At 47.3% G+C, this 20,257-nt stretch overlaps 1 pseudogene; it reads right to left on the reverse strand.

Annotated features, from left to right (window-relative positions):
• On the reverse strand, window positions 15,725-16,661 carry RPS2P2 (ribosomal protein S2 pseudogene 2; annotated as a pseudogene).

Here is a 20,257-nt window from a genome sequence, read left to right on the forward strand (position 1 = left end):
AATGAGTGAAATGGGGTCTCTATCCCTTTCCTGCTGTTTTCCTTTGGGATTTGGTTTTATCAGACATAATCCCCCTTCCTCCATATTTCTTGTGGACCATTTTTCTGCATCCCCACAGCTACCCCCTAATCTATACCAGCATCTGTTCCTCATCTTTGATACTGGAACAGTTTTCAAACTGACTCTGCCTCCACTCAAACTATCCTAGTTCTTCCTGACAGGCCAGAATGATCCTACTGAAAGTCTGACTCACTGCTGGATTTCCCGTTGGCCCTCAGTACAAAATCCTAACTGTTTTGAGGCCCACCTGATTCTGGCCCCTACTTTCCTCTCCGGCTTATTTCTCCCCACCAACCCTCATTCAGACTGACCTTTCCCCCTGCATTCTTTTCTCCCTCCCACAAGTGGCATTGTTGAGGCTCTGTACTGAGCCCTGGAGTCTTCACTGAAGCCCCACCACCAATGTAACCATTTGACATTTGATGGAGGGGTTGGACTGGGAATGTTACCATCTGGCCTGCAATAGCCACATATAGCCAGCAGATGGCAATCGGGTGCAGCAACAGACAAAGTCTCTCTCTGGGTTCCCAATCCGCACGCGGCTCTGATTTCCCAACCCCCGGTGTATCCGCCTTACTGCTTTGGCCATCCAGGGTGGTAGCAACTTCCTGAGAACTACCCTTATCGGGGTTCTGGATTCTCCTATTTGCTCTTTTGCCTGAACTCTCAAACCAGAGCAAATCCTCTGATGCCTGGAGGAGTATCTCACAGCGGGGTCTAAAAACCACCTGGATCGCAGTCTCCGTGGGAACTTATTAGGAGCGTGAATTCCAGTGCCCCATTCACACCTGCTGACTCCAACCTGAGACATTGGAGAGGTAGTATATGCACACGGATGAGTTACATAACCTTGCTGTGCCTCACTTTTTCCATCTGTAAGATGGGATTACAGTAATGCCTATAGGATAGTATCCTGCACATAGTGTTAGATAAGCCCAGTTTCAGAACCTCTGGGAGTCTGATTCCTGTTTTCTAGGAGGAAGTCAATACCCATGGATACTGTCGTTCAAGGTTACCCTCTAGGTTAAAGACACTCCTGTCCCAGGACTGAAAGGTGTTTTTGCCAGAGGCTAGCCCTGAGCCCTGAACTCACAGGCAGAAATTTTAGCTTCTGTTGGAAGAAATTAAGATAAAAAATGGTATATCAATATTTATAGATTTGGAAAAGGTTTCATAAGTATGGATAAGTTATTCTTGTGTAGAAAAGCTGTTTCCTTTCTAATCTGCTTAGAAAGGCAGGGATACCAAGTGGTGACCGTATTTGCTAAGAATACTTCATGCTGATTTTTGAAATCAACATCTGTTGAACTTATTTGTATTTTTCTTCACCATTTTCTATCTCTGATGCAGTGTAGAAAGTCCAGTGAAATGAACAATGTGTGAATAAAGGAAGAAAAAAATGTGAGGTTAACTTTGCATCTTCTTCCAACATTCTGTGTATTTGTAATGTAACAAGTTCTTCTAACAATTTTTTTTTTTTTTTTTTTTTTGAGACGGAGTTTTGCTCTTGTTGCCCAGGCTGGAGTGCAGTGGCACAGTCTTGGCTCACTGCAACCTCCGCCTCCTGGGTTCAAGCAATTCTCCTGCCTCAGCCTCCTGAGTAGCTGGGATTACAGGTGTGCACCACCATGGCTGGCTAATTTTGTGTTTTTAGTAGAGACAGGTTTTCACCATGTTGGTCAGGCTGGTCTTGAACTCCTGACCTCAGATGATGTTAAGATTTAACAATCTTAAATATAAAAGCTTCACCTCCCCCCACAAAAAAATCCAGTGAAACATTGAATAATTTAAAAAAATTATCTCCACATTTATCCCCTGGAGGAAGAGGATTTTGGTGGAGATCAACATAAGCTGCTCCCCAAATGTTTCTCTGGAGTCCAGCACTCAGGCCCCAGGGCATTGCTGGTGGCTTCTGGGTCCTGAGCAGCCACCTCATATCCCAACTGCCACTCCTGGATGTCCCACCATTGCCTCATTCTCACTGCCTGCCAATCTGGGCTCATCCCCCCCATTACCCTGGGACACACTTCTCTGAGTATCTTTCACCCCAGTTTCTGCAGCATCAGGTTCTTAGTTAAACTGTCCAGAAAGCTAAGAGTTGTCCTAGAACGTTCTCTCTCCCATACCTCTATCCCAGCAGGACCCTAGAAAAATGGCGGGTTTCACAAGGTTGCACACTGCTGGGTAATCACAGGGAAGAGAATTCCATTGGTCCAGCCCATCCCTGTCCCATCCTTTCCCCTGAGCACAGCTTTCATGCCAGGTCACACCTGAGGCTACTGGACAAGTTTTGGCCAAGGGCTGTGTCGGCCCTGCTCACAAGGGATCTGGCAGATATAATAGGTTCCTATCTAGCAGCCTCTGAGAGGCTGAGCTGTGAGCTGAGGAGACAGAGCCGTTTGTATTCAACTCTTGTCCTCACAAAGCCCTCAGTTTGCAGCAGCCGTGGTGTGACACAGTGTGATAGAGGCTTCCATATGGAATGGGCAAAAAGTGCAGCAGGCTCACAGGAAGCCTATGCTGGCTGATCTGTGTCTGGTACCTTGTGGCCTATTTTCCGAGAATGAGCCAGCTCTTTGAGTGTCGGCTGCCTGGGAGTCTCTGGGAAATGCCTCAGTTGCCCCTCAGGTGACCCTAGTCACTTGTTGTAAAAGACCCATTCCAGTTTGGTGGCTGTCACAGGAGGATGGGAAGCTAGGGGACAGGGCTCGTGCCACCAGGCAGTTGTCAGGATGGGGCTGGAAGGCTGAGAAGCAAAGCCCTGAGAGTGTGTGCAGGGAAGCCTGCTCCTGCCCCTGGCTGTCCGCTTTCATTGGCCTGATATCTCACCAGAACCTTCTCCTAGTGTGATTGCTTCTCCCCAACCCCAGCCAGTGACACCCAGGTTACCTGTAGGGTGTCACTAGTGGGTTGGTAAGTGTTCCCATTGCTAGTTTATCTCATGGAAGAGGAGGAGGGAAGGTTTTAGATAAGAAGCAGCAGAAAGTAGGTTTAATGGTATAAAAATTTTTCCATGTGGCCAGGAGCGGTGGCTCTCGCCTGTAATCCCAGCACTTTGGGAAGCCAAGGCGAGTGGATCACTAGGTCAGGAGTTCGAGACCAGCCTGGCCAATATGGCGAAACCCCATCTCTACTGAAAATACAAAAATCAGCCAGGTGTGATAGCGGGCATCTGTAATCCCAGCTACTCTGGAGGCTGAGGTAGGAGAATCACTTGAACCCAGGAGGCGGAGGTTGCAGTGAGCTGAGGTCGTGCCACTGCACTCCAGCCTGGGCAACAGAATGAGACTCCGTCAAAAAAAAAATTTTTCCATTAAAAATGACTTTGAAAATAGCATGAAATCCACTTAACTCTAGGAGGTCTTCCCTGCCAGGCAGAGAGCTGGGGGAACAGAGATAGGAGGGCAGCCAGGAGGAGACTGGGCAAGCAGCTGCTCATGTATGACCCTCTGCCTGCGGAGACCACTGGGTTGGCAGAAGGCAGAAAGGTCACAGGGGGTCCTCGCCAATGCCTCACCCCACTCCATACTGCAAGCCCCAGGGCCAGGAGGAGGAGAAGTGCAGGCTGTGGGGTCAGGGAGGTATTTGGGGAGCATCCAGGCTGAGTGGCTTTTGGTTCCCTTTCCTTCACCTGCCTCCCTCCCCCGCTGCAGCTCATCCTGGCTCAGACAGTTGCCTCTGCAGTATGGCAGACTGCAGGTATTGACAGTCAAGATCAGTTTCTAGGCTCCTTAACTGGGCAGAGTTATCTGTTGTCACTTAAGTTAGAATTGGGAGGGTGGGCCGGGCATGGTGGCTCACGCCTGTAATCCCAACACGTTGGGAGGCTGAGGCAGCCGGATCACCTGAGGTCAGAAGTTTGAGACCAGCCTGGCCAACATGGTGAGACCCCCGTCTCTACTAAACATACAAAAATTAGCCGGGCATGGTGGCAGGTGCCTGAAATCCCAGCTACTCAGGAGGCTGAGTCAGGAGAATTGCTTGAACCTGGGAGGCAGAGGTTGCAGTGAGCTGAGATTGCACCACTGCACTCCAGCCTGGGCAACAGAGCGAGACTCCATCTCAAAACAACAACAACAACAACAAAACCAAAAACAAAATTGGGGCACAATGGCACATGCTTGTAATCTTAGTGCTTTGGGAGGCTGAGGCAGGAAGATCGCTTGAAGCCAGGGGTTCAAGGCTGCCAGTGAGCTATGACTGAGCCACTGCACTCTAGCCTGAGTTACAGAGTGAGATCTTGTGTCTAAAAATAAGAGAAAAAAAAAGGCCAGGTGCGGTGGCTCACGCCTGTAATCCCAGCACTTTGGGAGGCTGAAGTGGGTGGATCATTTGAGGTCAGGAGTTCGAGACCAGCCTGGCACACATGGTGAAACCCAGTCTCTACTAAAAATACAAAAAATGAGCCAGGCGTGGTGGTGCATGCCTGTAAACCCAGCTACTTGGGAGGCTGAGGCAGGAGAATTGTTTGAACCCAGGAGGCAGAGGTTGCAGTGAGCTGAGATTGTACCACTGCACTCCAGCCTGGGAGAGTGAGACCCTGTCTCAAAAAAAAAAAAAAAAAAAGAAAAGAAAAAAAGCTGGGTGAAGTGGCTTGTACCTATAACCTGTAATCCCAGCACTTTGGGAGGCCGAGGCAGGCAGATCACAAGGTCAGGAGTTCGAGACCAGCCTGGCTAAGATGGTAAAACCCCGTCTCTACTAAAAGCACAAAAATTAGCCAGGCATGGTGGTGCATGCCTGTAGTCCCAGCTCAGGAGGCTGAGGCAGAAGAATCACTTGAACCTTGTAGGAGGAGGCTGCAGTGAGCTGAGATTGTGCCACTGCACTCCAGCCTGGTGACAGAGCGACACTCTGTCTCCAAACAAACAAAAAAACCTCGAATCTAATACCAAACAAACAAAACACACACACACACAAACACACACACACACAAAAGAAAAAAATAGAATTGGGACACAACAAGGGAGGCATAACTGAGTTGCATGGCAGTATCCAGGACAGGGGCTGATGGCTGCAGGATCCACTGATCCTCAGAGCTCATCTTCATGGAAATAGGAGGGAGCCAAGTATCTTTGACTTGTGTTTTCTTTGTTTTGCTTGTTTTTTAGACAGAGTCTTGCACTGTCGTCCAGGCTGGAGTACAGTGGCACAATCTCGGCTCACTGCAACCTCCGCCTCCTGGGTTCAAGCGATTCTCCTGCCTCAGCCTCCCGAGTAGCTGGGACTACAGGCGCACACCACCACGCCTGGCTAATTTTTTGTATTTTTAGTAGAGACGGGGTTTCACCGTGTTAGCCAGGATGGTCTTGATCTCCCGACCTCGGGTGATCTGCCCACCTCGGCCTCCCAAAGTGCTGGGATTACAGGCATGAGCCACCTTGCCTGGCAAGACTTTGGTTTGTTTGTTTATTTATTTATTTATTTATTTATTTATTTATTTATTTATTTATTGAGACAGAGTCTTGCTCTGTCATCCAGGCTGGAGTGCAGTGGCACGATCTTGGCTCACTGCAAGCTCCACCTGCCGGATTCACGCCATTCTGCTGCCTCAGCCTCCCCAGCAGCTGGGACTACAGGCACACGCAGCCACGCCCGGCTAATTTTTTTGTATTTTTAGTAGAGACGGGGTTTCACCGTGTTAGCCAGGATGGTTTCGATCTCATGACCTCGTGATCCACCCGCCTCGGCCTCCCAAAGTTCTGGGATTACAGGCGTGAGCCGCCTCGCCCGGCCTAAGACTTTGGTTTTTAAAGTCAGTTTTTCTTCAGCCAGGAATATGTTAAGAGAGGAAACAGGGAGGCAATGTTGTTGTGGGGCAAAAAGGAGCAAGACTGCCTTTCCTGGATTTCCGAAAGGGCCTCTCAAAAGTCTCAGTGCTTACCTGGGTATGGTGGTGCACTCCTATAGTCCCAGCTACTTACCGGGAGGTAGGGGGCTGAGGTGGGAAGATCACTTGAACCCTGGAGATCGTACCACTGCTCTACAGCCTGGGCGACAGAGTGAGACCCTGTCTAAAAATCAAAAGTTGCAGTGAATGAGCAGAGAAGATGGATGGGGAGAAGAAACTGAGGCCTATAGCCTGGAAAAACCCCATGCGAGTAGGATCTTGATACAGCCATTTGGCCCTCACACTCTAAGGTCCAAAACCATTTAAAATGTTAGCTTCTGGCCAAGCGCGGTGGCTCACATCTGTAGTTCCAACACTTTGGGAGGCCAAGGTGGGAGTATGGCTTGAGTCCAGGAGTTTGAGACCAGCCTGAGCAACATGGTAAAACCCCATCTTTACGAAAAAAGTTAGCCGGGTGTGGTGGTGTGCACCTGTAGTACCAGCTACTCAGGAGGCTGAGGTGGAAGGAATACCTGAGCCTGGGAGGTCGAGGCTGTAGTGAGCTGTGATTGTGCCACTGCACTCCAGCCTGGGTGACAAAGTGAGAGTGAGACCCTATCTCAAAAAAGTAAATAAATAAATACATAAATATTAGCTTTCTTAAAATTGCCATGTCATGTGCCTAGCTCGGAATTGGCTAGGATGGAGTATTCACACCACAGGAATTGGCAAGTCCCACCAATCGGCCAGACGTGCTGGAGCCCTACCCGATAGAAGACTCCTCCCTATGTGTTTATGTAGCTGGGTCTTGCCAGTCCTTCAACTCAAAGTAACGTCACCCGCTCAGTGAGGCCCTCCCAGACCCCATCTCAAGTTGGTCTCAGTCACTGTTGCCACGTCCTTTCACTGTTGTCATCACCATTTCAACAGTCGTTTTCTGGGTTATTGTCCTTTTCCTCAACCTGAAATGCAGGAACAGAGGCCCCCAGAGAACAGGAACTCGTCTGACTTGTCTACTGCTTATCCCTCTGGCTAGAACAGCGCCTGGCACATAGTAGGTGCTCAAAAAATAGTCACTGAATGAAGAAGTGAGTGTGTTTGGAGCGGAAGGCTGAGTGTTTCCGCCTAGGTCCTGTGACAGAAACCCCTGTGTCTGTTCTCATGTAAAGGCCGGTCAGCAGGGTGAGAGGGAGCCGGTGCCTGTACTGACCTGCTCTTGGTCAGGCCAGACTAGGGATGAGACAGGAGCGAGAGGAGGAGGCAGAGGCAGAGAATAGTCCCTTTGGTCTGGAAGCTGCTGAACTGGATGGGAATGAGCCGAACCCATTGGATCCTTGTCTTGGGGATAGAATTGCCACATTCGGCAAATAAAAATAGGGACTACGCAATTAAATTTTAATTTCAGATCAACAAATAATAGATATATTTTTTGCCCTTGTTGCCCAGGCTGGATTGCAATGGTGTGATCTCGGCTCACTGCAACTTCCACCTCCCAGATTCAAGTGACTCTCTTCCCTCAACCTCCCGAGTAGCTGGGATTAGTGTGCCACTATGCCTGGCTAATTTTTTTTTTATTTATTTTTTTTATTAGAGACGGGGTTTCACCATTTTTGTCAGGCTGGTCTCGAACCCCTGACCTCAATTGATCCACCCACCTCGGCCTCCCAGAATGCTGGGATTATAGGCGTGAGCCACTGTGCCTGGCCAACAAATAATAATTTTTTAGTATGTATATGCTCCATGCAATATTTGAGACATACTAAAAATTATTCATTATTTACCAAAAATTCTGATTTGATTGTATTTTCTCTGGCAACCCTACCTGGGGAGTCAGTGGTGTGCTAGTAAGTGCTCCCTGGGTCCTCTGCTCTCATTAGCTTCCTCTACCCTCCCCACCAGTCAGCTTTCTCTGGGTTGTGAGAAGATGGCAGGGGATGCCCCCCCAGCTCCATCTTCATCCCCATGTGTCCAAACAGACCTGAGCAGCTTGAGTGTTGTTCTTCTGAGTAGCTTTCATCTGAGGCCTGTGTAGAGCAAGCTGTGGGCTGGACACAGACCTCACCTGCGGCTCAACATTACAATTACATGGGTGCTTTTAAGATTGGCTCTGCCCAGGCCCGACTGCACACCAATTAAATCAGAATCTCTGCATGGTCTCATTAACCTGCCCTATGGTTTTAAATATCTCTAGATACTCCTTTTTATGAGACAGAGTCTCACTCTGTCTCCCTGGCTGGAGCAGCCTCGACCTCCTGGGCTCAAGCGATCCTCCTACCTCAGCCTCCTGAGTAGCTGGGACCACAGGTGTTCACCATTACTCCCAGCTAATTTTTTTTTTTTGAGACACAGTTTTGCTGTTGTTACATAGGCTGGAATGCAATGTTGTGATCTCGGCTCACTGCAACCTCTGCCTCCTGGGTTCAAGCGATTCTCCTGCCTCAGCCTCCTGAGTAGCTGGGATTACAAGCACCCGCCACCACGCCCAGCTAATTTTTTGTATTTTTAGTAGAGATGGGGTTTCACCATGTTGGCCAGGCTGATCTTGAACTCTTGACCTTAGGTGATCCACCCACTTCGGCCTCCCAAAGTGCTGGGATTACAAGGGTGAGCTACTGTGCCCAGCCATGCTCAGCTAATTAAAAACTTTTTTTTTTTTTGTAGAGACGGGAGTCTCAATATGTTGCCCAGGCTGGTCTTGAACTCTTGGGCCCAAGTAATCCTCCTGCCTCCCAGCCTCCCAAAGTGCTGAGATTACAGGCATGAGCCACCACACCTGGCCAGGATATTTCTAAACATCTCTAGAATCTGCCTACTTCTCTCCACTTCCACCATCACATATCAGACTGCAGTATACGCCCAACCAATCTTCCCCACATACATTCTAGCCCCTTCTAATCTGTTCTTCATGTTGCCACCAGCGCGGGATTTTTAAAACATAAATCTAAAGTTACTTCCCTTGCTTCAAATCCTTCAACGCCATCCCTTTTTTCTTAGTAAAAATGTCAAAACAGTCACTTTGCAATGGGAAAACCTGGCAGACACCAAGGAAATGAAGTGATTGAGGTTAACAGTGCCAGTACTAAGATAACTTCTGTGGAATTCTTGCCAGAAATTTACAACCTTGATCTAACCCTGAGAAAATGTCAGACAAGCCAAAATTGCAAGACACTCTACATCCTAACTGACCAGTACTCTTAAAATGTGTCAAGGCCATGAGGCAAACCTGAAGAACTGACATAGATTGGAGGAGACGAGGGAGACAGCAACTAAATGCAATGTGGACCCTGGATTGGATCCTGAAACAGGAAAAAGACATTGGGGGAAAACTGGTGAAATGTGACTAAGCACTGTAGTTTGGTTAGTGATACTGTACTGCTGTTTTCCTGGTTCTGATCATTTTATGATACTTATGTGAGTTTTTAACATGAGGGGAACTTGTGTAAAGGATACACAAGGGACTTCTCTATTATTTTTGCAACTTTTCTATCAGCTTAAAATTATTTCAAAATGATTTTATTTTATTTATTTTTTGAGATAGTTTTATTTATTTATTTTTCATCTTCCATTGTGGAAGATGAAACTCACATTTTACTCTGTTGCCCAGGCTGGAATGCAGTGATGTGATCTCAGTTAGCTATAACCTCAGCCTCCCAGGTTCCAGTGATTCTCCTGCCTCAGCCTCCTGAGAAGCTGGGATTACAGGCATGTGCCACGATGCCCAGCTATTTTTTTTTTTTTTTTGTATTTTTAGTAGTGACAGGGTTTCACTATGTTGGCCAGGCTGGTCTCGAACTCCTGACCTCAGGTGATCCACCTGCCTCGGGCTCCCAGCGTGCTGGGATTACAGGTGTGAGCCACTGTGCCTGGCCTTTTTTTTTTTTTTGTATTTTTAGTAGAGATGGGGTTTCACCATATTGACCAGGCTGGTCTCGATCTCCTGACCTCGTGATCCACCCGCCTCAGCCTCCCAAAGTGCTGGGATTACAAGCATGAGCCACAACACCCGGCCTTATTTCCAAATAAAAGGATAAAAAGATAATCCTTGACATGGCCTTGAAAGCCTGGTATTTTCTAGCCCCTGCCTGCCTCTCTGCCCCACAGTCTCCAACCACTCTCCCTGTGCTGCAGCTGTGCTAGCCTTCCTTACCGTCTGGCCTTTTAGAGTGAACCCTCAGAGATCAACCAAGCACCCCTTCTGGGACCTCTTCCTTCCTTCCTTCCTGGATCAAGCCTCGTCATTACAGGTTCTCATAGCTCTCCATCAGAGCCCTCCCTAAAGTTATCATCAACACTGCAAGGCAGTGCTTCTTAGCCTTGGCTGAATATTAGAATCACCTGCAGAATGTTAAAAACCTCTGGTGCCTCAGATGGGAGGGTGAATTGGTATACCCACGTTGGAAAATTGTCTGGCAATATCTATTAAAGATATTTTAGTAATGAATATATACATCCTCTATGACCTAGGAATTCTACTCCTAAATACAGTTATGTGCCACATAATGTTTCTGTCAATGACAGTTCACTTACAAACAGTGGTCCCATAACATTATAATTGAGCTGAAAAATTCCTATCTTCTGGTGATGTGGTAGAAGTCTTAAAGTCATTGTAGGCTGTATGTGGTGGCTCACACCTGTAATCCCAGCACTTTGGGAGGCTGAGGTGGGTGGGTCACTTGAGGTCAGGAGTTCAAGACCAGTCTGACCAACATGGCGAAACCCTGTCTCTATTAAAAATACAAAAAAAAAAAAAAATTAGCTGGACATGGTGGCAGGCGCCTGTAATCCCAAGTATTTGGGAGGCTGAGGCAGGAGAATCACTTGAACCCGGGAGGCAGAGGTTGCAGTGAGCCAAGACTGTGCCATTGCACTCCAGCCTGGGCAACAAGAGCAAAACTCCATCTCAAAAAAAAAAAAAAAGAAAGAAAAATAAGCCGGGTGCAGTGGCTCACGCCTGTAATCCTAGCACTTTGGGAGGCTGAGGCAGGTGGATCATGAGGTCAGGAGATCGAGACCATCCTGGCTAACACGGTGCAACCCCATCTCTACTGAAAATACAAAAAAATTAGCCAGGTGTGGTGGTGGGCGCCTGTAGTCCCAGCTACTCGGGAAGTTGAGGCAGGAGAATGGTGTGAACCCAGGAGGCGGAGCTTGCAGTGAGCTGAGATTGTGCCACTGCACTCCAGCCTGGGCGACAGAGCGAAACTTCATCTCAAAAAAATAAAAATAAAAATAAATAAATAAATGAAAAATAAAGTCATTGTAGTGCAATGCATTACTCATGTGTTTGTGGTAATGCTGATGTAAACAAATCTGTGCTGCCAGTCATATAAAATATAGCACACACAATTATGTACAGTACGTAATACTTGGTAATGATAATTAGCGACTATTACTGGGTTATGTATTTACTATACTGTACTTACTTTGAATTTTTATTTTATTTTGTAGAGACAAGGGTCTCACTTTGTTGCCAGGCTGGTTTTGTACTCCGGGCTTCAAGCAATTCTCCTACCTTGGCCTCCCAAAGTGCTGGGATTATAGGTATGAGCCACTGTACCCAGCCTATGCTGTGCGTTTTAATTGTTATTTTATTTATTTATTTTAGAAAAATACATGCTTTTAATTAATTGATTTTTATTTTTTATTTATTTATTTTTTTGAAACAGAGTCTCACTCTGTTGCCCAGGGTGGAGTGCAGTGGTACAATCTCGGCTCACTGCAGCCTCTGCCTCCCAGGTTCAAGTGGTTCTCCTGACTCAGCCTTCCCCACCCCTGAGTAGGTGGGATTACAGGCATGCGGCACCACACCTAGCTAACTTTTGTATTTTTGGTAGAGACGGGGTTTCACCATGTTGCCCAGGCTGGTCTCAAACTCCTGAGTGCAAGCGATCCGCCCATCTCGGTCTCCCAAAGTGTTGGGGTTACAGGCGTGAGCCACTGCACCTGGCCTGATTTTTATTTTTAGAGACAAGGTCTTGCTTTGTCTCCCAGGCTGGAGCACAGTGGTGCAATCATAGCTCTGTGCAGCCTCGAGCTCCCGGGCTCAAGTGATCCTCCTGCCTCAGCCTTCCTGTTATTTTAGAGTACACTCCTACATACATCTTGTGTTTACTGCATCTCTTGATTGCACCATTGATTTGACGTTGGGTCATTTTGTTTTATGGCCCCTATAAATACAAAATTCACGGCTAATGTTGCCAGGAAGAGGCCACATCGAGTGGTTGACCTGGAAGCAAAATTAAAAGTGATTAAGGACTACAAAGGTGGCAAATCTGCAATGGCTATTGCTTGCCAGGCAGGCAGGTCCATTCCACCATAGCTATGATTTTGAAGAACAAGAACAAAATGATAGAAGCTGTTAAAGGATCCGCTTCATTGAAGGCAATGAAATGAACAAAAATGAGAGAAGGGCCTAAATCTGATCTGGTTACATTTCTAATGACCTGGATTGAAGACCAGACACAGAAGCATATCCCTCTCAGCCACATGACAAGCACTGACAAAGCAAAGTTTGTTTGTGATGTTGAAAAGAAGGACTGGATCCAACTACAGTGTGGAATTTACTGCTAGCTCTGGGTGGCTTAAACTATTCAAGAATCGTTATTCATTACATAATGTGAAAGTGAGTGGTGAGTCTGTAAGTGCTGATGTGAAGGCAGCTGAAGAATTTTTGGAAACTCTAGATAAGCTGATTGTGAGGAAAATTACTTGCAGGAGCAAATCTTTAATATGGATGAAACCTCCTATTCTGAACATGGATGCCTGAAAGTACTTTCATTTATAAAGAGGCCAAGTTAATGCCAGGTTTCACGGCTTTTAAGGACAGAATAACAGTCTTGCTTGAGAGCAATGTGGCAGGTTACAAACTGAAACCCTTTGTGACCTGGAACAGGGAGAACTTCAGGGCCTTTCAGCTTATCAATAAATGCATGTTGAGGCCTGGCATGGTGGCCCACACCTGTAATCTCAGCACTTTGGGAGGCCGAGGGAGGAGGATCTCTTGAGCCCAGGAGTTCAAGGCTGTAGTGAGCAATGATCATGCCACTGCATTCCAGCCTGGGTGACAGAGTGGGATCCTGTCTTTTAAAAAACAAACAAAAGGCTGGGCGTGGTGGCTCACGCCTGTAATCCCAGCACTTTGGGAGGCCAAGGTGGGCGGATCACGAGGTCAAGAGATTGAGACCATCCTGGCCAACATGGTGAAACCCCATCTCTACTAAAAATACAAAAATTAGCGGGGCATGGTGGTACATGCCTGTAATCCCAGCTGCTCGGGAGGCTTAGGCAGAAGAATGGCTTGAACTCGGGAGGTAGAGGTTGCAGTGAGCTGAGATCATGCCACTGCACTCCAGCCTGGCAATAGAGCGAGATTCCATATAAAAAAAAAAATAAATAAATAAAAAATAAAAAATTAAAACAAAAAAAACCAAGCACATGCTGCCAGTGTACTTCAGGAGCAATGAAAAGTCATGGAACCTCCGCTTCCAAGGTGCACTCCTGAATTGCTATGCCAGCACAGTGGAGAAGTATTGTTTGGGGAAGAACATACTTTCCAAGATTTTGCTTATTGTTGATAATGTTCCCAAACGTCTGCCTTTTACTGGTGATCTTCATCCCGGTATCAGAGTGGTGTTTCTGCTTTCAAATACCACCTCTTTGATCCAACCAATGGATCAAGGAGCTGTAGCAGCTTTTAAGAGCTACTACTGTATTAGTCCGTTTTCACGCTGCTGATAATGACATACCCCAGGCTGGGTAGTTTATAAAGAAAAAGAGGTTTAATGGACTCACAGTTCCACGTGGCTGGGGAGTTCTCACAATCATGGTGGAAGATGAAAGTCACATTTTACCTGGCGGGAGACAAGACAGAATGAGAACCAAGAGAAAGGGCTTTTCCCCTATAAAACCATCAGATCTTTTTTTTTTTTTTTTTGAGTCCGCGTCTCGCTCTGTTGCCCAGGCTGGAGTGCAGTGGTGTGATCTCAGCTCACTGCAACCCCCACCTCCTGGGTTCAAGCAATTCTCCTGCCTCAGCCTCCCCAGTAGCTGAGATTACAGGTGCGCACCACCACACCCGGTTAAGTTTTGTATTTTTAGTAGAGGTGGGGTTTCACCATATTGGCCAGGCTGGTCTCAAATTCCTCACCTCAAGTGATCTGGCTGCTTTGGCCTCCCAAAGTGCTGGGATTACAGGCATGAGCCACCGTGCCCAGCCCCATCAGATCTTGTGAGATTTATTCACTACCATGAGAACGGTATGGGGGAAACCACCCCATGATTCAATTATCTCCCACCGGATTCCTCCCACAACACGTGAGAATTATGGGAGCTACAATTCAAGATGAGATTTGGGTGGAGACACAGCCAAACCATATCTGCTACCCAAGGAAGACCTTTACCCAGGCTATTACTGCAACTGAGAGAGACACTAAGGAGACACTGATGTAATTCTAGAAGGATTACAACGTTTACGACTGCATCAAGGACCTTTCTTGGGACTGGGGCAATGTCATCAAGGCATGTCTGCATGGCATCTGGAAGAAGAAACTGAATAGGTTTGTTCATGACTTCAAAGGATTTGCCAAGGATAAGAAGGTTGCAAAAAATCAACATAGCTGTGGTTGGAGATGGCAAATAACTTTAACCTTGGTGTGGATGAGGATGCCATTGAGGAGGTCCTAGAGGTGGTTCCTAAGGAACCGATGAATGAGGGGTTGTTGGAACTGGAACAGGAACACATAGCTGAAGAACAGACAAGAGAAAAGGAAACTGCAGAAGAAAAAGAACTTCCAAGAAAATTCACAGTGAAGGGCTTAGCAAAAGCTTTTACAGACCTCAACCAGATCCTTTAAAAGCTTGGAAAGATGGGCCGGGAGCGGTGGCTCATGCCTGTAATCCCAGCACTTTGAGAGGATGAGGTGGATGGATCACGAGGTCAGGAGATCGAGACCATCCTGGCTGACACGGTGAAACCCCGTCTCTACTAAAAATACAAAAAATTAGCCAGGTGTGGTGGTGGGCGCCTGTAGTCCCAGCTACTTGGGAGGCTGAGGCAGGAGAATGGCGTGAACTCAGGAGGTGGAGCTTGCAGTGAGCCGAGATCATGCCACTGCACTCCAGCCTGGGCGAGAGAGCGAGACTCCGTCTCAAAAAAAAAAAAAAAAAAAAAAAGTTTGGAAACATGGACCCCCCGACAATGAAAGGTTTTCCTTAATAGAGAGGAATGTTTATGGTGCAGTATTTGCTGACAAGAAAATCTACGATGAAAAAAGAAACAGGTCCAGGTGCAATGGCTCACACTTGTGATCCCAGCACTTTGGGAGGCCAAGGCAGGAGGATTGCTTGAGCCCAGGAGTTCAAGAGCCTGGACAACATAGTGAAACCCCATCTCTACAACAAAGTAAAAAGATTAGCTGAGCATGGTGGCACATGCCTGTAGCTTCAGCTACTTGGGAGGATGAGATGGGAGGATCACTTGAGCCCAGAAGGTTGAGGCTGCAGTGAGCTGTGATTGTGCCACTGCACTCCACTCCAGCCTGGGTGACAGAGTGAGAATCTGTGTCCAAAAATAAAACAAAGGAAAAGGAAAAAGAAACAAACCAAGCAAACCACCATGTATTTTTTCAGAGTGATACCTTCTCGCAGGTCCTTTAGGAAGTATTCCAGAATAACGCATTGATATTGTAGGAGATGACGGCCCCATATGTGTTACTGCCCTTAGAGACCTTCTGGTGGGATGAGATGTGACGGTGGAAGGTGGGAGACACTGATATTGATGATCTGGACCCTGTGTAGGCCTAGGCTAATGTGTATGTTTGTGTCTTTTTTTTTTTTCAGGCTTAATCACTTCATTTTTCTTGTATAAAAACCCTATGTTGTAGCCACAGCTGGAGCCTGGGTCCACTGCACCGAGACTCTAGTGTGGGTCTTGACGAGGTGGTCAGTGAATTCCTGATAGAGAGACTTAGTGAATACAGTCTCCTTCCAGAGGTCGGGGGTCAGGTAGCTGTAGGTTTTAGAGATGGCATCAAAGGTGGCCTTGGCGAAGTTGCCCAGGGTGGCAGTGCAGCCCTGGGCTGAGGTGTAGCAGTCATTGATACCAGCCATCATGAGCAGCTTCTTGGGCACAGGCGCTGAGACAATGCCAGTGCCCCTGGGTGCAGGGATGAGGTGCACCGGCACAGAGCCGCAGCGGTCTGTCATCTTGCAAGGGACGGTGTGGGGCTTGCCAGTCTTGTTCTCCCAGCAGCCTCTGCTTATGGGGACAATGGAGAGCTTGGCCAGGATGATGGCCCCGCAGATGGCAGTGGCCACCTCCTTGGAGCACTTAATACCCAGACCGACGTGGCCATTGTAGTCCCCGATGGCAACAAACGCCTTGAACCTGGTGCGCTGGCCGGCACGGGTCTGCTTCTGGACCGGCATAATCTTCAAAACCTCGTCCTTGAGAGAGGCCCCCAGGGAAAGGTCAATGATCTCAGATTCCTTAATGGGCAGGGAGAAGATATAGATCTCCTTCAGGGACTTGATCTTCATGGCCTTGAGCAAGCGGCCCAGCTTGGTGACGGCATCCACTCCTTATCCTCGGCCTTGCCTCCGCGAGCTCCGCAGCCTTGGCCCCGGCCGCGTCCACGGCCGCGACTCCGGCCCCCGATGCCACTGCCGAAGCCTCCGCGGAAGCCACCATTGTTCCCCATCCCAGTGCCCCCAGGGCCTCCGGGCCCCCGCGCTGCACCGGCATCATCCGCCATTTGTTTTCTCGGATAAGAAGGTTTGTGTCTGTTTTTAACAAAAAAAGTTTAAAATATAAAATGTTTATTTATTTATTTATTTTTGAGTTGGAGTCTTTCTCTGTTGCCCCGGCTGGAGTGCAGTGGCATGATCTCAGCTTACTGCAACCTCTGCCTCCCGGGTTCAAGCGATTCTCCTGCCTCAGCCTCCCAAGTAGCTGGGATTACAGGCACCCATCACCACGCCCGGCTAATTTTTGTATTTTTAGTAGAGATGGGGTTTCACTGTATCGTTCAGGTTGGTCTCGAACTCCTGGCTTCAAGTGATCAACCCACCTTGGCTTCCCAAAGTGCTGGGATTACAGGCGTGAGCCACTGCGCCCAGCCCCCAAAATAATTTTAAACAGAAAAAAAGGCCGGGTGCGGTGGCTCATGCCTGTAATCCCAGCACTTTGGGAGGCCGAGGTGGGCGGATCACGAGGTCAGGAGATCGAGACCATCCTGGCTAACACGGTGAAACCCCATCTCTACTAAAAATTCAAAAAAATTAGCCGGGTGTGGTGGTGGGTGCCTGTAGTTCCAGCTACTCGGGAGGCTGAGGCAGGAGAATGGCGTGAACTTGGGAGGCGGAGCTTGCAGTGAGCCGAGATCGCGCCACTGCATTCCAGCCTGGGCGACAGAGGGGGACTCTGTCTCAAAAAAAAAGAAAAAAAAAGAGAACAGAAAAAAAGTGGCCGGGCGCTGCAGCTCACACCTGTAATCCCACCACTTTGGGAGGCTGAGGTAGATGAATCATGAGCTCAGGAGTTTGAGACCAGCCTGGTCAGCATGGTGAAACCCCATCTATCCTAAAATTACAAAAATTAGCCGGGGGTGGTGGCAGGCGCCTGTAATCCCAGCTACTTGGGAAGCTGAAGCAGGAGAATCACTTTAACCCAGGAGACGGAGGTTTCAGTGAGGTGAGGTTGTGCCACTGCACTCCAGCCTGGGTGACAGAGTGAGACTCTATCTCAAAAGAAAAAGTAAAAAAAAAAGAAAAAATTTAAAAATTAATTTAGTGTAGCCTAAATATACAGCGTTTATATGATCTGGAGTAGAGCACAGTCATGCCCTAAGCCTTTACGGTCACTCACCACTCACTCACTCACTCACCCAGAGCAACTTCCGGTCCTGCAAACTCCCTTCATAGTAAGTGCCCTATACAGGTGTATAATTAAAAAGAAAATATTTTATACCATGGTTTTACTGTACCTCCATGGTTTTACTGTACCTTTTTAAAATAAATAAATTTATCTGAGACAAGATCTCACTCTGTTAACCAGGCTGGAGTGCAGTGGTGGGATCAAGGCTCACTGCAGCCTCAAGTTCCCAAGCTCAAGCAATCTTCTCACCTCAGCCTCCAGAGTAACTGGGACCACAGGTGTGCGCCACCATGCCTAGCTAATTTTTTGATTTTTTTTTTTTTTTTTTTGTAGAGATGAGGTCTCACTATGTTGCCTAGGCTGGTCTTGAACTCCTGGGCTCAAGTAATCCTCCCGCCTTGGCCTCCCAAAGTGTTGGGATTGCAGGTGTAATCCCAACAGCTACTCAGGAGTACAGGCCGTGCCTGGCCTTACTGTACCTTTTCTATGTTTAGATACACAAATACTTATCATTGCATTGTAATTGGCTACAGTGTTCAGTCCAGCAACGTGCGGTATAGATTTGTAGCCTAGGAGCAATAGGCTGTAGCACATAGCCTGCATGTGTAGTAGGCTGCACCACTTAGGTTTGCGTAAGTGCATTCTATCACGTTCGCACAATGACAAAATTACCTAGCATCGAATTTCTTGGAATGTATCACTGTTGTTAAGTAATGCATGACTGTACATACCGAACAGAATGTAAACATATGTTTAGCAAGAATGTGTTTAAGAATATTCATAAAAACTTTTCATAATAACCAAAGGAAATAATCTGAATGCCCGTCAACAGTAGGATGGATAAATAAGCTGTGGTGTAGTTACATAATGGAATGCTACGTGATAATGAGAATGAATGATCTACAGCTATACTCAACAATGTGGATCAATCTTAAAAAAACATGTTGAGCTAAAGAAGCCAGATATGAAAGAGGAGTTATGGTATTATTCCATTTATGTAAAGCACAAAAACAAGCAAAACTAATTTATGCTGTTAGAAGTCAGGATAATGGTCACCTTTGGGGAGAGATAGTACTTGGAAGGAAGCATGAGGGGGCACTTACGGTGTGTTGGAAATGCTCTGGTTTTTTTTTTTTTTTTGAGACAGAGTCTTGCTGTGTCGCCTAGGCTGGAATGCAATGGCACATCTCGGCTCACTGCAGTCTCCGCCTCCTGGGTTCAAGCGATTCTCCTACCTCAGCCTCTCGAGTGGCTGGGATTACAGGAGCATGCCACTATGCCTGGATACCTTTTGTGTTTTTAGTAGAGACGGGGTTTCACCACATTGGCCAGGCTGATCTCGAACTCCCGACCTCGTGATCCTCCCACCCCAGCCACCCAAAGTGCTGGGATTACAGGCATGAATCACCGCGCCCGGCCATGCTCTGTATTTTTTTTTAGAGACAGGGCTCACTCTGTCAGAGCTCACTGGAGCCCTAAATTTCTGGGGCTCAAGTGATCCTCCCGTCTTAGCCTCCCAAGTAGCTGGGATTATAGGCATGTGCCACTACCCTTGCCAGAAATGCTGTTTCTTAAACCAAATTCTAGTACATGGGTGTGTTCAGTTTGTGAGAATTTGCCAAGCTGTATACTTGTGTTTGGGTACTTTATGTATATGTCAATAAAAAGTTTAAAAAAAAAAAAAAAAACCCAGGCCGGGCGCGGTGGCTCACACCTGTAATCCCAGCACTTTGGGAGGCCGAGGCGGGTGGATCACGAGGTCAGGGGTTCGAGACCAGCCTGACCAACATGGTGAAACCCTGTCTCTACTAAAAATACAAAAATTAGCTGGGTGTAGTGGCGGGCGCCTGTAATCCCAGCTACTCAGGAGGCTGAGGCAGGAGAATTGCTTGAACCTGGGAGGCGGAGGTTGCAGCGAGCTGAGATCGCGCCACTGCATTCCAGCCTGGCGACAGAGCGAGACTCCGTCTCCAAAAAAAAAAAAAAACAAACAAACCCCAGATTCCTGGGTTGAGAAATGCCATTAAGAAAACAAACAGGCAAGCTACAAATTGGGAAAAAATATTCGTAAAACATACCTGACAAAGAACTGGTAGACAGGATATAAGAGAATTTCTGCAACTTAATAAAGACAAATGACTCAATTACAACAAAATTGACAAAAAATATGAACCGACACTTCACAAAAAAAGATATACATGTGGCCAATAAGTACATGAAATTGTGCTCAAAATCGTAAGACACAAGGGAAATGAAAATTAAAATCACAATGAGGGCCAGGAGTGGTGGCCCACATCTGTAATCCCCTCACTTTGGGAGGCTGAGGTGGGAGGATCACTTGAGGCCAGGAGTTTGACACCAGCCTGGGCAAAATAGGGAGACCCGACCCCCCCCCGCCGCCTCTACAAAAACAAACAAACAAACAAACAAACAAAAAACCCACAATGAGATAGGCTGGCTGAAATTTTTTTTTTTGAGACAGGGTCTTGCTCTGT

This window comes from Homo sapiens, chromosome 14 (assembly GCF_000001405.40).
Source record: "Homo sapiens chromosome 14, GRCh38.p14 Primary Assembly".
NCBI classification, from domain to species: Eukaryota; Metazoa; Chordata; class Mammalia; order Primates; family Hominidae; genus Homo; species Homo sapiens.